The sequence below is a fragment of the Homo sapiens genome, chromosome 2, assembly GCF_000001405.40.
Source record: "Homo sapiens chromosome 2, GRCh38.p14 Primary Assembly".
NCBI lineage: Eukaryota > Metazoa > Chordata > Mammalia > Primates > Hominidae > Homo > Homo sapiens.
In genome coordinates this window covers 10,593,787-10,611,187 of record NC_000002.12, presented here as the reverse complement: position 1 = coordinate 10,611,187, position 17,401 = coordinate 10,593,787, and the positions used below count along the sequence as shown (strand labels likewise).

The 17,401-nt window shown below is 39.1% G+C and overlaps 1 protein-coding gene across 9 annotated transcripts in view; it reads left to right on the top strand.

Annotated features, from left to right (window-relative positions):
• Positions 1-17,401, top strand: part of NOL10 (nucleolar protein 10) — a 119,222-nt gene that overhangs the window by 78,788 nt on the left and 23,033 nt on the right. For 7 of the 9 annotated variants that reach the window (NR_048552.2, NM_001261392.2, NM_001261394.2 and 4 more), the window contains 4 exons: positions 3,877-4,003; positions 8,031-8,110; positions 8,314-8,412; positions 10,246-10,335. Coding sequence is in view for 6 of the 9 variants with exons in the window: in NM_001261392.2 (NP_001248321.1) it covers positions 3,877-4,003; positions 8,031-8,110; positions 8,314-8,412; positions 10,246-10,335 (396 nt within the window). In the remaining 3 variants the exon portion in view is untranslated. Of the gene's footprint in view, positions 1-3,876; positions 4,004-8,030; positions 8,111-8,313; positions 8,413-10,245; positions 10,336-17,401 lie in introns of those variants that run through there. The other 2 variants (XR_007082254.1, XM_047445902.1) reach the window with 1 other exon arrangement.

Genomic DNA, 17,401 nt, shown 5'->3' with positions numbered 1-17,401 from the left:
CTAAGGGAGCCACATTATCCCTTTCTAGCAATCTGATGAATCAGTTTTCAATTTTCTACTTTTATTAATACTGACCTGTGAGTTGAAGAAATATTTGCTGGGCGCAGTACCACTGCCTGTAATTCTGTCTATTCTGGAGGCTCTCAAGAGTTTCAAGACCAGCCTAGGCAACACAGCAAGAACCTGTCTCTAAAAAAATAAAAAGAAAAAAAGAAAGTCTTATAAATTGACCACAGCATGGGCAACATGGTATGACTGAAGCATAGAATACAGCAATGTAACAGCAGGACAGAAAACCTGGAAAGTTTGAGGTAGTAGTGATAGTCCATATATGGCTAAAAAGGATGTTTTCCTCAAGTTGTAAAATGTGGAATTTAGAAAGTAAATTAATATATTTCAAAGGATTAGTTGAGGTTTAACATATTTTATGGCTATGAAGGCAATAAAGACATTTTACACATTGACGCTGTGATGTAGCTACATCAGAGAGTGTGACGTGCCTGTGGTTGAGCCCTCCTTATTGGCTAAGCTGGCCACTGTTTTTGAAACTTAATGGTAGGCCTCTGACGAAAGGTCTAATGTGGATAAAACCTGCATTTTATACCAGTGTAAATCAATAATTTCAACTTTGTTATGGTGGTTTTGATGTTTTTTCTCTGAAAAGGAACTCAGGAAATGTGATTAATAAGGTCAACTGCTAGATTTAATTTTGTTTTTGATGGAAATATTTTTTCCTAGAAAATTTAATGGCCATGAATCTGATTGCAGAGATTATTTACCATAACTAGACCTGTCCCCTGACAGGCAATTTAAACCACTTCCATTAAAATCTAGATAATCAGAAAGAATGTTGTGGAACATTATAAAAGAGGGCTATGTGAAAGTCAATTCACATCTAGACTGTTTTAGTATTCCTGCCTTCACCTTTGAAAGTCAGTGCACACAGTATAATCTTTTTATTGTCTTTGAAGCCCATGTTTATGATTGATTTAAAAAGGTGGAACAATTTATTTTGAGGTTCTTTGGGTAACAGTGTACCCTTGTATAGGAATCAAGATAGATCTAACTTTCACCAGAAGTATTCATATACCCAGTAGCTTTATGGTGAGGTATTTGAGTGTTTTTGTCTGAATAAGGAATATTAGACCAATTTAGAAATACTTTTGCCGGAGAGGACCCTTTCAGTTTTAGTACTTGATGCATATGAAATTCATATGTGTTTTGTACATGAATAGATTTATTTATCACATAGTTATTGAGCACCTACTATTTGGCAGGCACTGTTCTAGGTACTAAAAATTCAGCAGTTAACAAAACAGATGTCTCTCCTCAGAGGACAATATCTTGGATATTATATTCTAAAAAAGCAATAATAGCATACTTTGATCTCGTCTAGAAAAGAAAAGATTGCTGTTTTAGGGAGTACACCATTATCTGATAGAGCTTTGCATTTGCAGGTTTATGACTCACTGGAAGCAGATACCCCTGTAGTTACAAGGGCCTCAACTCTCTCGGCTTCAGAAGATGCCTGTGATTTTCCTAGCTTGCTCATGTGCTCCTTCCGACATGAAGTCCTTTCTTTTTTTTTGAGTCAGAGTCTCGCTCTGTCGCCCAGGCTGGAGTGCAGTGGCGTGATCTTGGCTCACTGCAAGCTCTGCCTCCAGGATTCATGCCATTCTCCTGCCTCAGCCTCCCGAGTAACTGGGACTACAGGCATCCGCCACCGCGCCTGATTTTTTTTTTTTTTTTTTTTTTTGTATTTTTAGTACAGACAGGGTTTCACCTTGTTAGCCAGGATGGTCTCAATCTCCTGACCTCGTGATCCTCCCGCCTCGGCCTCCCAAAGTGCTGGGATTACAGGCGTGAGCCACCGCGCCCGGCCATGAAGTCCTTTCAAATAGACTTAATTCGGTGTCCCAGCCTTCCCTAGTTTTTTTTAAGCCATCTTCCCCTTCGACTCAGTGCAGTCTGAGTTCATTGCACACACATTGTGTGTGTATGTGCGTGTGTGTGGACATGCAAGTGCACACATGTGCTTCAGCTGGATTTTAAACTTCTTCAGGGAGATTGTGGTCAGTGTCTTTAATTTAGCACAGTGCTTTGTATGTGGTAGCATTTAGTTGTTGACTTCAAGCTACTGTCCTAAAATTGCTTAAAACCATAGCAGTTCTTTTAAAAAGTGTTCTATATGGAATTTTTTAAAAATGCCTTGCATTTCTTGAAGGTTTGTCTTTTATGGTTGGAGTCAAACCACTTAGTATATAAAAACCTTTACTTCTATTTTTAAAAATTGTAGATTGCACTAATATGAAGTTTCTGTGGAAGACTATATATGCTCGAGTTTTTTTCATGTTTATGAGTACCATAGCTGTGTTGAGGTGAAGAGAATCACTCTTTCTAATCCGGCAAAATAATGTCACTAAATTATTATGGCCATATCTAACATTTACTTTTCTTTTTATTTGAAGAGGGTGTTAACAGGGGCTGTTTTTCTTTGTTATAATTCTCTTCCTTCTGCCTTTCCTTCTTCAGAAAGTTTAAGCTAGATTTAATAATTTCCATTATGATTTCTGGGTTTTTTTCCAGTATGCTTGATTGCTACTGAAATAAACAGGTTAAGTCGTCACTGGAAGTTCCATTTTGCCCGAGTCCAGTGTTCTCTCATTACCTCTAGCTTAAGGGAGGATTTCGCTAGCATATCTTCTCTGTTGACTGAGCCAAGGTTTCCTTTGGCATACATTGACCTCAGCGGGTGTGGCATTTTGTTGGGAAAGATTTGTATCAATAGCAAAAATGTACAAAGTGATCATAGTATTTTATGAAAGTAGGTGGATTATATTTTTTCATAGTTGGATTACAAACTTAATGATTCATATTTTATTAGTTGGTTATAATTCTGTTCAGCCTTTTGTTCCTCAGCCTTTCATTGGGATAACTCGTGGAGCCTGGTCACCCATTTAGTTTTGAAGACTTATTTATACAGAAATTTAAAAAATCAACTAATTATTTTTAAATGGCAAGTAAAAATTACATGTATTTGTTGTGTACCGCATGATATTTTGAAACATGTATATGTTGTGGAATGGCTAAATTGAGCTAATTAACATTTGCATCACCTCACGTAGTACTTACCATTTTTTGTAATGAGATCATTTAAAATCTACTCTCTTAGCGATTTTCAAGAATACAATATATTGCCATTAACTATAGTCTAGAATTGTAGTTTTTAATGAGTTAAATGAATTAAATGAAGTGGACCATGCAGAATGGAATGTAATTGTCAAGTAATTAGTTGAAAAATCTTAAAAGAAAGTAATTTTGGGCCGAGTGTGGTGGCTGAGCCTGGCAGATTGCTTGAACTCAGGAGTTCAAGACCAACCTGGGCAACATGGCAAAACCCTATCTCTACAAAATAATAATAATAATAATAATAATAAATATTGTTTTTTAAAAAGGTAATTTTTCTTTTAGACTTTTGTTTGGCAAACTTAAAAAATCTAGTGTACCAAATAATGCTTTTGTAGAATTCTAGTAGTATTTTGAAGGAAGGAGGTGATACATGAATGGATGGATGTTATTATAAGTATCTGAATTATTTATCTGTACTTTGATAGTGCTAATATAAGAACATTCATTCATACTTTTGTACCTTAGACTAAGTGAGGTTGTTTTCTCTTACAAGCCTAAACATTTACCACTTTGTTTATTCTCTTCTGTTATATACTTGTTCATTATACATACTGCATCCATTTGTCAATACTTCTGATAGAAAAAAGGATTTAGAAATCATGTTTAACAAAATCTGGTTATAAATAACTGAGACTTGGATGGCGTGGTAAACTGTGCCTTTGCTGACCTTCTCATAAACACCAACAGGTTTTGGGTCCTGCTCCTCGGTGGTGTTCCTTCTTAGACAACTTGACCGAAGAATTAGAAGAGAATCCAGAAAGCACAGTCTATGATGATTATAAATTTGTCACCAAGAAAGACCTTGAAAATTTAGGTAAAAAAAAAATTGTGATGAAATATTATGTAATTACTTTATTTCTACTTTTTTTTTGAGTTTTGAACATGAGAATTGGCTGAGCCATGTTTACCTCATCTCCTAAATCTTCCCTTTCTGCCAAATCAGATATTAAACATATTATAAATTGTCAGATTTGTAACCTTTCTCCTTAGAGAAAAGTTCAAGTAAATTTAACATGCTGAAGCTTTTTTGTATTTTAAATGAGAATTTATTTTAGCAAATAATTTCTTTTAGCATACTAGCTATTATAGAGGAAAAAAATTGTCACGAAAGGAGTGATTTTTTTTTCACCAGTATTATCTGAAGTATAATAAGGTTTTGAAAATGTCTCAGAGACGGCAAGTAAATGATTCCTGCCTCCCTTTTAGGTTTGATTATAAAAGACCCAATCCAAAACTTAGAAGTGATACATTGAAACTTCAGATGTAGAAGAACCTTAATAGTTACTTTATGTTTGAAGGTCACAAGCCAAGAAGTGTCTTAAAAGAACAGCAAATACTTATGAGATAGGGCTTACTATGTGCAGATAGTATTTTTTTTTTTTTTTTTTTTTGAGACAGAGTCTTGCTGTGTCACTCAGGCTGCAGTGCAGTGGCCCAATCTTGTCTGATTGCAACCTCCGCTTCCTAGGCTAAAGTCATTCTCCTACCTCAACCTCCCGAGTAGCTGGGATTACAGATGTGCACTGCCATGCAGCATGGTAAGACGGGGTTTCACCATGTTGGCCGGGCTGGTCTTGAACTCCTGGCCTCAGGTGATCCACCCACCTCAGCCTCTCAAAGTACTGGGATTACAGGTGCGAGCCACCACGCCCAGTCTGTGCAGGCAGTATTCTAAGCGTTCTACATGTAACTCATTTAATCTTCACATCCCTATGGATTGGGTACTATTATGATTCCATTAGATAAGGAAACTGAGGCAAAAAAAAAAAAAAGATAAATGTACATTGCCAGAAGTTTCAGTGGTAGTAAACTTGAGAGTTGAGCTTTAAATCCAAGAGTCCGTGCCCTTTCCCCAGCCATCCCAGCCCCTGCAGGACATGTTGCGCCTGCTTGCCTAGCCCTCCTCTAGGTTAGAGTAGATGGTGCTCATCTTGTTCTGCTGCTGTCAGAGGGCTACAGCAGAAGTTACTGAGAGTGGGAAAACTTAGAGGATCCATTTTATACAAGGCAAGGCAACTTAGTTGTCTTTGGAACAAATAGATGTGCAACAACAGTTGAGTATTAAAACAGAATCATGTTACCATTAGATTAATTAAACTTCCTTTTTAACCCATATCTCATAGCACAGTTAATCCAGGCGGAATTACTTTCTGTCAGTTACTACCAAAAAAGAGCTGAATTTAGCCTTTTAAAAAATGACTTGAATGAAATAGGACCTTCTTACTGCAGTGCCTTCTTAAGTGTCTCCAACGTAATTTTCATAATATGCTGTCACACTCACCTACATTCTTAAATCGAATGAAAAAAGGTCATTGTTCTTTTATGGATTTTTTAAAAACTACTATGTTTAGTACATTTTGGGTTCTTTTTCAGTTTCTTTACTGGGTTTATTTTGGGTGAAAAAAGGAGTTATATAAGTTTAGGTATATTTTGTTAAAAAGTAATTGTACTGCTCATTTTTAAAACTATAGAAATAGATATTCAACAAAATGACAGTTATACTAGAAAGCATTTTATGTATATTACTAATATCTTTTGATGTCAAATGAGCTTTTATCATTTCCCCATAATATATAAAACCTTCTAAATAGAATATCTTAAGAGTAGAAGTAAGTAATGAACTTCCCTTACTTCCTAAGATTATTTTTAGTGCAGCATTAGTATATTGAAGATTTGCAAGTTCTGACTCTTCTGGATATGGCCAACAGCAGATCTTATAGCTTGGTATTTCCCACAGTGCGTTCTTTGGAAAATTACGTCTGTAAAAAGGACTGGGTGGATAGCATAGTGGCTGATATTGTGGGCACTACAGGTAGACTGACATGGGTTTACATCCCACCTTTCTCACTTAATATCTGCACAACTTGGCCAATTCACTTCGCCTCTTTAAGCCTTGGTTTCCTCATATGTAAAATGGGAATAATATTGGTCCCAACCTATAGGGTTGCCTGGAGAATGAATCAGAAAATGCTTGGAAAATATTCAGCACCCTTTTATTTTAGGAGATTTGTGGCAAATAAGTTTGGGAAATGCTAGGTTAAGCACAGTTAAATCAATTTCTTTACCTCGCATACTTCTTAGAGCCTTTAATACCATCATACATTGTAAATCTCCAAACGGAAGGAAAGTATGAAACATTTCCCAAACTTACTTGACCATGGAGCCCTTTTTTCTCAGAAGATCTCTTGGGACTAGTGATCCATGGAGTTAACTGTAGGAAATGCTGCTGCATCCGATTCTCGGGTTAGGACTGTTTCGCTATGAAAAGCGCTTCACTTGGTTTTTATTTATGACCTGACTTGGATTAATTCTGTGACATTAATAAAGGAAACAAAAAATTACTTTTGCAATCACTGGTATATGTATTTTATAATGTAGTGGTTAATCAGACCCTTATCCTGAGGAAGATTTAGAGAATATACACGTGCAGTTGTATACATTCACGTTTCATTAAGGCTCAGCCCTCTTTTGTTAGGACTCCATTGTGAAAGTGCAAACCCCATATTTTTATTAACCTAATGAATTCTATGACAGTATTTTCCTAATCAAGTTTTAGAATTCCGTTATGAGAATATCCTAAATTTAATTTTCTTTTTTATATTGTTCTATAACATATACTATTTTATACTACTGTATGATTTTGCTCAGTACTTGATTTTCAGGTCTAGATGGATGTATATTTCTAAAATTTGGAAATTAGAGTAATGCTTTCCTTAGAAAGACAGTCACTTATACCAGGGGTCCCCAACCCCTGGGCCATGGACCCATACCAGTTGGTGGGTGGCCTATGAGGAACCGGGCCACACAGCAGGAGGCGAGTGGTAAGTGAGCATGACTGCCTGAGCTCCGCCTCCTGCCAGCCGTGGCATTTGATTCTTATAGGAGCGTGAAACTAGTGTGAACTGCACATGCGAGGGATCTAGGTTGTGGGCTCCTTGTGAGAATCTAATGCCTGATGATCTGAGGTGGAATAGTTTCGTCCTGAAACTGTCCCTCCCTGCATCCGTGGAAAAATTGTCTTCTACAAAACCAGTCCCTGGTGCCAAAAAGGTTGGGGACCACTGACATATATCGTAAATGTTCTGCATGTGAGTACATCACATGTGGACTTATTTTGAAGATCTCAGTCTTTTTCTGTGTCAATATTTGGAATTAATAAATAATTCCTGTGACATAGAGCATTCTTATGTGACCACCAGCACCACAAATTCTAAGTGTAACCTATTAAAACTGGGAAACTCTGTGAAAGTATTGTTTGAGGCAGGGTTCTCAAATGCTGACTGGCAGTGGACTTTTCATTAGTCCCTGATGAGGAGTGCATATGTGATATGAGTATTAATATGCATGTATGTATGTTTATATATGGTGGTAGGAATTTGTCAGCTGTTCTTTCTTGGAAGACGGTTCTTTCTACGTTGTTTTTGTGAGTGTCCTTTGTCTTTGCAAATGGTCGATGACAATGTTTCTCCTCTCTCCCTTCTCCTCATTTCAATTTGGCAACTTACTGTTGATCCCCAGTATTATTTTCTAAATTGAACTTGTTTGTGGAAATAAAAAATCTGAGGACCACTCAGAGGGTATAAGGGAACCCTCTTTGTCTTAGTTCATAAGGACTTTCTCATCATTTTTGTGTGTAGTATTATTACATTTAAAATAAGGATGATATTGCTGAAGTAGATTAAATGTTCTCTATAGATATCAAAGAAGATTAGTAATTCTAATCCTTAAATTTTTAGTCTGAAGTGAAATCTTACTATAATCAAATTGTTGCCCAAGAAAAACTGTTGAATGTTAATGAAGATTGCATAAGGACCTGCTGTCTTCTGTTTGACCTTTCCCAGGGCTCACCCACCTCATTGGATCTCCTTTCCTCCGGGCATATATGCATGGGTTTTTCATGGATATAAGACTCTATCACAAGGTAAACAGAAAACTACAGTTATTATGTTTCAGGTAACTAATGCGCAGTCTGTGGCCATTTCCTCACTACTCGCACTTTCATAAATCATACATAGGATTTGTAGGGGATCTGCCTGTTCTTTGGCATAACTGTCGTGGTGTATATGAAAATGATATTACCAAATACCATTCTTTTATTTTAAAAACTTTTTTCATTTTGAAAAGGTGAAACTGATGGTAAATCCATTTGCTTATGAAGAATATAGGAAAGATAAAATACGACAGAAAATAGAAGAAACACGTGCACAGAGAGTCCAGTTAAAGGTAAATATTATACTTACCATTGAATTTATCAGAGAAGAGTACTTAATTTCCATTTTGTGTATTATTCCAAAGAAATCTGCCATTCTTTTCTTGATTTTCCATCTTTAATTTGCATCTTTTACTGATATTTTTGGTATAGTTTGTTTGTCATCAGTGTGTCATGTTTGTCATGAGGGTGCAAAACTCTTTACAATTTTCGCATTATGACCTCTGCGGTAATTGTACTGTGGGACATAATGCTAGAATGATTGATATTGTCACCTCCACTAGAAACCTGATAGCATTTTTAAATGGGTTTTCCATTTTTGGAGTATCCGGGCTTTGCTAATCCCTATTCCTTACTGACCTTTGGCCGTATCTTAGGCTCTGTTTGGATCATGGGAAATGGTCGACAGTCGTAAACTGCACTCTCTGTCTGAGTACATAGAATTTAATGTAAAGAATGATTAACTTGGTATTGGAGAACTGAAAAGACAGAACTGCTAAAGGATGGAGGAGAGAGGTAAACTGCAGGAAGCAGCCACCAACTCAGAGCTGCGGAACAGCCTGGGGAATAGGAAGAGGAGGCCCCGTGGAGCTGGACCCAGGCCTCTGAGGAGGGGCCACAGGCCGGTTCCAGGGCCCTTGAGGCATAATAGCAAGGATGTTCCTGGGAGCGTTGGAAACTGCAAACTGGAATCCACCACTGCTGTGGAACCAGCTGTTGTTTCCAGGACAAAGAGTTGCTGTTGTGTGATGCCAGTGTAGACAGAGAAGGGCAGGCCCTGCTCCTGCACCTGCCTTGCAGTCTGTCTGCAGCCGCCCCTGTTGGTTCATTTCAACCACCAAATGATACCAATGTGTATAACTGAACGTTGGTATACGTACATACTCTGTCACTATAAAAGACTAGTGACTGTTTTCTGCATTTACCCTCAGTACTTTTTTGTTTTTCCAGACTGTTAAAAGATTTCTGGTGTATTTTTGAGACAGGATCTTGCTTTGTTGCCCATGGTGGAGTACAGTGGCATGATCAGAGCTCACTGCAGCCTCGACCTGAGCTCAAGTGATCTTCCCACCTCAGCCTCCCAAGTAGCTAGGGACTATAGGCGCACACTACCACACTCAACTAATTTTTTGTAGTTTTAGTAGAGACAGAATTTTGCCGTGTTGCCCAGGCTGGTCTTTAACTTCAGGGCTAAAGTGAGCCTCCCATCGGCTTCCCAAAGTGCTGGGATTACAGTCATGAGCCATTGCGCTGCCTCTCAGTGCACTGGAAAGAGGCTCTCAGTGCCCTGGGAAGAGAAATGAGGGCGAGTTCCCTAGCAGTAAGCTGGGGTTGCCGTTTTTTTGCCATGTGGCCCACCTGGTATCATCACCTGTCTACATTTCCTACTATGAGGATAATGAAATTTTTAAAATACGAATTAGTTGGCTGGGCGTGGTGGCTCATGCCTGTAATCCCAGCACTTTGGGAAGGCCCAGGCAGGCGGATCACGAGGTCAGGAGACCGAGACTGTCCTGGCTGACACAGTGAAACCCCGTCTCTACTAAAAATACAAAAAATTAGCCAGACGTTGTGGCGGGTGCCTGTGGTCCCAGCTACTCGGGAGGCTGAGACAGGAGAATGGCATGAACCCGGGAGGCGGAGGTTGCAGTGAGCTGAGATTGCGCCCCTGCACTCCATCCTGGGTGACAGAGCGAGACTCCATCTCAAAAAAAAAATAATAAAATAAGAATTAGTTATCTCCTATTTATGAAATTATACTTACACAACTGTTTACCTTTAAGCTAATATGTAAATATGTTAGCTTTTAAAATAAAATAAAATACCAGCTTTTATTTTCTCTCTAGAAATTGCCAAAAGTTAACAAAGAGCTGGCACTTAAATTAATTGAGGAAGAAGAGGAGAAGCAGAAATCTACATGGAAAAAGAAAGTTAAGGTAAGGTGAAAAAGTATCGGCAAATTGTTTCTGCGTTTTGTTGATAGTAACTTACATCTTTTTTATTGTTTCTTTTTACTTTAAAAATACATGTAGGACTTTTTCTTTCCTGCGTATAAGATTAGTATATGCTTAAGATGGGAAGTCTGGAAAATAGAAAAGAATATCAAGAAGAAAGCTATCCTTACGATTCTTATACCAGAGAAAGGCATCATTAATATTTCAGTGAATTTTCTTCCTGTCTTATTTGTTTCAAAATTAGAAACTACAATAGCAAGAGTCTTGTATGTGTAAAATGTTTATCCTGATTCTTTAAAATAACACAGGTGGTTTCCCATTTTGTTAAAAATTCTTTGTAAATATTTTTAATGGCTACATATTCTGTTTTATGAAGTGATTATAATTTACTCAATCCTTCTATTGTTAAACGTTTAGATTATTGTTTTTCTTTGTTCATAACTCCAGAAGTAACTGATTTTTATTTGGACTTGGTGTTCTTACGAGTATGCAGGCTGAAGTGTAACTTCCACCTGCTTTCCTTTATTAATGTGAAAATAGACAAAGATCAGTCATAAGATAAATAAAAGTTAGCACTTTGTTTAGTTGGTATTGTCCAGAGGTGAGATTTTTCTAGTGTTTTCAGATGTATGAAGGTACCTGGGTCCTTGCCAATCTTGTTTTCTCTGCTTAGATGAGGCAGGCAGATAGCCAAGCTTGGTTATGTGCTGGAATGAGTTGGAAAGAACTGATCTCTGCGACAGCCTGCAGAACCTAATGAGTAAGGAGCTGACCTTGTAGTTTTGGGCCAGCTGTGTGGTGCCCTCAGGAGGTTCTTTTTTTTTTTAAGCTTATTCTTTCTCTGTCCTCTGGTTTTTAACCAGGTACGTGCATCTAAGATGGGTGAGCTCCTTTTGTCTTCATTTCTGTTCATGCTTTTCAATACCCAGGGACTGCAACTGAAGGGTCTTGTTCCTAGCTCTTGGCACACTGCTTATGTAATCTTGGGCGATTGCTCGTCTTCATGGGGTCACAGTTTTTTCATCTGTAACATGCAAGGACCGGATATGGGCATTCTTAGAGCTGTGCTTTCCAAATGGATTCAGACTCAAGACTCCCCCTTGCTGTCTTCTGCTTCCTTAGTCTTTCCCTGCATCCCCTCATCCTCGTTTATTACATTCTTTTAGTATATTGTTTAAATTTTAATTTCTGGAAGCCTCTCAAGTAAATAGAGGACTTTTAGGTTTCCATTTTCATGACATGAATAGTATGCCAATGTTGAAATAATTCCTCAAACTTATTAATATTTGAATTTATGTCTGTGTGTAATGGCTCTGCACCTTCCTAAGTTACACCAATGTGTATAAATGAATATATATATCTTTAAGTGTTTAGAATACAAGTCTTTGCTGCTGTGTTGACTCTCTCCTCAGAGTATTCACACTGATCTTCTTGTTAGCTAAGCCTAAGCATGATTAGGGAGGTAACTTTTCTGCTTTGTAATGTCATTTTACAGTAAAAGCTAAATGGAAGTGATCTTTGGATGTACATGCCATGCCCTAAGGCTTCAGTAGATAGAGAGTAGAGCTAACTTAGACTGTAGATGTTTGCATTCCTATCTGTGTTTTATGCCAGAGTCTTTATCATCTGATAGAGGCAAGAATACTTAAGTTACAATTTAATTTTGCTACTTTGTGCAGCATGCTATACCAGAGCCTGTTTATAAGGCCCTGTGATTATCTAGATGCAGAAGTGCCCTTCCCTTCCCCCCATTTCTTTGTAGACCTTTGCTGAGGTTGAGGGCAGCCAGAGAAGATTTAGAATACCCCATAGTGCAGGATGGTGGAAATGACCTCACAAGTTGAACACATGCAGAGCAATCCTCATGGTCAGGTGGGAAAATTAGCATTGTTCCATGCCTTTAAACATTTTTGACAAAACATTAAAAACTCTCTTACTGTCCATTATAAATTGGAAAACTAGGATCTTTTCATTATATTGTAATTTAAAACATTAGGAATAAAGCCTAATTGAGTATTTTATTTTCTTTCTTTTATTTCTTTTGTCAATAGTACTTGGAACAGTGCTTACTTTTTTCTCCTCCTAAACTTTTGATACGGAGCCAGCATTTTTCTTTGCCTCAGCAAATTGTCATACTCACTTTCTAAGTTTGGATAAGCTTCCGATGTTTCATCCTTTGCTCTTTTGACGTTATGAATTGTCTCTGAGAGTTCCTTTCATGTAAAGTTTTTTGCCAGTGTCACTTCCACTGGGACACTTTTCTTCTTCTTGTCACAGCTGTTTTCCTCATTTGTTTTCAGAGGTTCACCATTACGTGGTCCCCTCACTACAGACTTAGAGTGCCAGCCAGTGACAGTAGCCACATTCCCTGTATTCCCACAGCCAGCTCTTTCTTCTATAACTCCCTTTAAATTTGATTCACATTTTTGTTGTTGCAGTTTTATCTTGTTGATTAGTTCTCTGTAAATTATTCTTTTTTGTAAATGTCACACGAGTTTGTCTTCGGTATCTGAAGAAGCAATGCAACAGTTACACACGCGTCCTGTCTGCAGGAACTGAACAGGAAATTCACGGTGCATCACACCGCCTGATGCAGTGTCCGGTCACTGACAGGCTTTGAGAAAAGCAACCCATTATTTACGTAGGGATTTGTGGACTAAAGAGCTCGCTGTGGAGTTATACTTTATGAACATACTCAGTTGATGAACAGAGATAACTGAAATTTGAACCGTCTTGTTGGGGCACCTGGTATTCTTTAACTGCATTCCTTAGCTACTCCTTCCTTTTGGCACCGTGCGAATCAAGAACTTGCCTTTCTGTTATCTCCAGTCACATCTACGTTCCGTTGATGTTCACTCATTTTGTTGCTACATATTCTCTAATTAACTATCAGGATGGCATTTGATTATTTTAAAACCTATTGGTGGGTCACCCTGTAAAGAATTACCAAGCTGTGTACCATTTTACTTCCAGTGAAAAGGAGGAAGAACCTTAGAAATTCCTATCTTCTTCCATCAAACAGCAGTTTCTCTTCAGCTCTTCATAGCTGGAAATGTGATCTTTGTAGCCATATCACGTGATAACAGAATTCTTCCAAAGAGTACTATTTGTAAAATGTGCCCCTAATCTTCTTGTTGGTGACTTCCTAGCCCAAATCAGACCTATTATCAGAGCTCAGTTTCATTCCAGAAATATTTATATATGGTCTTTTGAAAATCTGAGGCTGTGCTTGGAAAAAGTTTGTATAATTTGTTGTTGAACAGTTTCATCTTATGTAAAGTGAAGATCGTAGAAATCACTCATGAATTAAGGAAAGAATCCTTCATTATAATTTAAAAGACTACTTGAAAGAATTGCTAAGTCTCATCAGCAGATCATTAGTCTCGCCTTTGAACTCAGCTCCTCAAAAGCTTGAGAACTTTACTAGCTGTGATACCTCCTGATTTGAAAGTAGGTATCTTGCAATACCAATTTGAAAGGTATGTTTTGCCTTGTCTGCAGCTGAAATTTATTGGAGACAGTGAAATGTGTTCCTAAATATTGCTGCCACTGAGAACACAAAAATCGAATAAGATGTTTACTGTATGGTTGATATTGAACCTAAAATGGGAAGTGGCCCACCACATAATGTCAATCAGTATTATATGGACATTATCCAAACTCAGAAATTTTGGTTGCATTAATTCTAGTTAACAATTAAGGCCGAGTGCAGTGGCTCACGCCTGTATTCCCAATACTTTGGGTGGCTGAGGCAGGAAGATTACTTGAGCCCAGGAGTTGGAGTCTGCAGTGAGCCATGATCACACCACTGTACTGCAGCCTGGGCTACAGGGCAAGACAGCATCTCTTTAAAAAAAAAAATGAATGAATGTATTTATTCTTTCAACAAATATGTATTGAATTTCCAGTATGCACAAACAGCTTTGAGAGGCATGGGCATCTGTGATCTGTTTGATTTGTGAGGGTTTGAGTTTTGGTTAGAGCTATTTTTCCTATAGGTATCATTTTTTGTATGTTAGTCTTTTTTGTCAGTTTCTTGCTGTGGCCTTAAAGTCTCTGATGAATGTACTTTTCTTTCATTCTGCAGCAGCTCAGGCAGGACTGTGCATGAGATCTCTAGGCCAGGGGTCTCCAACCCCTAGGCCATGGTACTGGTCTGGGGCCTTTTAGGAATCAGGCCGCACACCAGGAGGTGAACCTCAAGCTTCATCTGTATTTACAGCCACTCCCCATTGCTCACATTACTGCCTGAGCCCCACCTCCTGTCAGGTCAGTGGCCACATTAGATTCTCATAGGAGCATGAACCCTATTGTGAACTGCGCATGCGAGGGATCTAGGTTGCGAGCTCCTTATGAGAATCTAATGCCTGATGATCTGTCACTGTCTCTCATTAGCCCCCGATGGGACTTTCTAGTTGCAGGAAAACAAGCTCAAGGCTCCCGCTGATTTTATATTATGGCGAGTTGTATAATTATTTCATTGTTATTACAGTGTAATAATAATAGAAATAAAGTGCACAATAAATGTAATGCGCTTGAATCATCCCAAAACTCCCTCGCGCCCGCCCCCCGCCCCCCACCACCATCTGTGGAAAACTTGTCTTCCGAAACTAGTCCCTGGTGCCAAAAAGGTTGAGGATCACTGTTCTAGGCTATGTGTATTCTGTGGTTAGGAACCCATGGAAGAGATATTTTAGCAGTTTCAGGAATTACTAAATACCACTGAGAACTTATATTAAAGTAATACCTCATCTCTCTAGGGAATACAATTAGGTACAGATACTTTGGGTTGGATCAGGTCAGTTTTAACATCCAAAATATTATTTTTAAAGCTTTTTTAGTATCAATTAAAATTTTTGTTTTTTTTAAATTACAGTTATACATGCATAGTTTTAAAAACTAAACATTTCAGTCTGGGCACAGTGCCTAACACAAACATTATGGGCTCACACCTGTAATCCCAGCACTTCGGGAGGCCAAGGCAGGCAGATCACTTGAGGCCAGGAGTTTGAGACCACTCTGGCCAACACAGTGAAACCCCATTTCTACTAAAAATAGAAAAACTAGTTGGGTGTGGTGGTGCGTACCTGTAATCCCAGCTACTTGGGAGGCTGAGGCAGGAGAATTGCTTGAACCTGGGAGGCAGAGGTTGCAGTGAGCCAAGATCACGCCATTGCACTCTAGCCTGGGCAACAGAGCAAGACTCCATCTCAAAAAACAAACAAACAAACAAAAACAAAACAAAACAAAAAAACATTTCTGTAATCCCATCATTTTGGGAGGCCAAGGCAGGGAGGATCACTTGAGCCCAGGAGTTCAAGACCAGCCTGGGCAACATGGTGAAACCGCATCTCTACAAAACATTAGCTGGGTGTAGTGGTGCATGCCTGTGGTCCCAGCTACTCAGGAGGCTGAGGTGGGAGGATCTCCCTGCAAGGCCGCAGTTAGCCATGGTTGTGCCACTGCACTCCAGCCCAGTAACAGAGTGAGACTCTGTCAAAAACAAAAACAAAAAAAACCTAAACATTTCTCCAAGGTTTGTTAGGAATGTAGGCCATCCCATTGTCTGCCCCTTTTCCTCCCTCTGCCTTCCTCCATTTTCACCTCTTCTCAGACAACCACTTTTGCCTTTTTTGCTGATTATTTTGGTATAAATCTCTCTCTCTCTCTCTCTCTCTCTCTCTCTCTCTGCCCCCTCCCCCTCCCTCCCTCTTGCCTGTAGTCCTACCTCTTAACTTTTTAGTGTTAGGCATTATCTTTTGATAACTTTCCTTTCCAAGGAAGCTATATTGTGATTTTGATTAAGTTGGTATTCAGCATTACATTGTTGTACTTTTGTTTTTTGAGATAGAGCCTGTTACCCAGGCTGGAGTACAGTGGCAGAATCATAGCTTACTGCAGCCTCAGTCTCTCGGGCTTAAGTGATCCTCTCACCTCAGCCTCTCAAGTAGCTGGGATTACAGGTGCACACCACACCCAGCTAATATATATGTATGTATATATTTTAGTAGAGCTGAGGTCTCACTGTGTTGTCCGGGCTGGTCTCCAACTCCTGAGCTCAAGAGATCCTCCCACCTCAGCCTCCCAAAGTGTTGGGATTACAGGCACGAGCCACCATGCCTGGCCTACGTAAGTGCTATTTCCAGCCGAGTCAGTAGTAATCTGTGACTGCATTTCTTGTTCAATCTTTGTGTACTTTGAAGTTAATAATTGTCTCTCTTGCTCGTTTTCTATGTAGTTATCACTAATCAACACCCAATTCTATGTCAGTTCTCTAAGTCTTATTTTGAGGTGTTTAGATAGGTTAGACTTATGCTTATTTACCTTCCTGAAGAAGTTGCTTCTAGAATTTTCTGCCCCATTCCATTCTAGCCTGGTCACCTTCTAATCCCGGGACCTCCCTTTACCATTATCCTGGGGATTCACTTCACCTCAGCCCATGTTGGACAGAGAATTACAAGAACCTTCAGTTTCCTGAAGGAATATAGTTTCCAACCTAGGCAAGCAGTCAGTCAATGTGAGGGTATGGTAGATATTTTCAGACATGCAAGTTCTCAACAACAACCAATTCCCCTTAAATGCTGCTTTTCCTCGGGAAGTTGCTAGGGGAGTTGTTTCTCTAAAATAACAGTGTAAGCCCAGGAAGAGGAAGCGTCCTGGGAAACCTGACACGAAGCGACTGTACTGTGCTGCAAGCCCATCTCAGTCTAGAAGTTCGGTCTTCAGTGCTGGGGAATTTTCTTGAAAGAAAATTTCAATTAGTTTTTCCTGCCATGATCCATAGTTATTTTTTGGCAGTGAGGAATAAGAGAGTTAAAAAACTGAATGAAAACTCTAGGTGGGGACAGGGTCCCTCAGTCAGTGTGCAGTGACTTGGCCACACTGTTTGGGGAAGGACACTGCACATGTCATTGTCTCTTAGGTCTTTCTCTTGGCTGGTCAGGTCCTCCTGCTTGGGGGGGTAAAGGCCTGGCTACCAGCATTCCTAGAACTGACCACTGTAGGTCACAAGAGGTTGGAGGGGTCCAGAGGGCACCTCACCCCCATG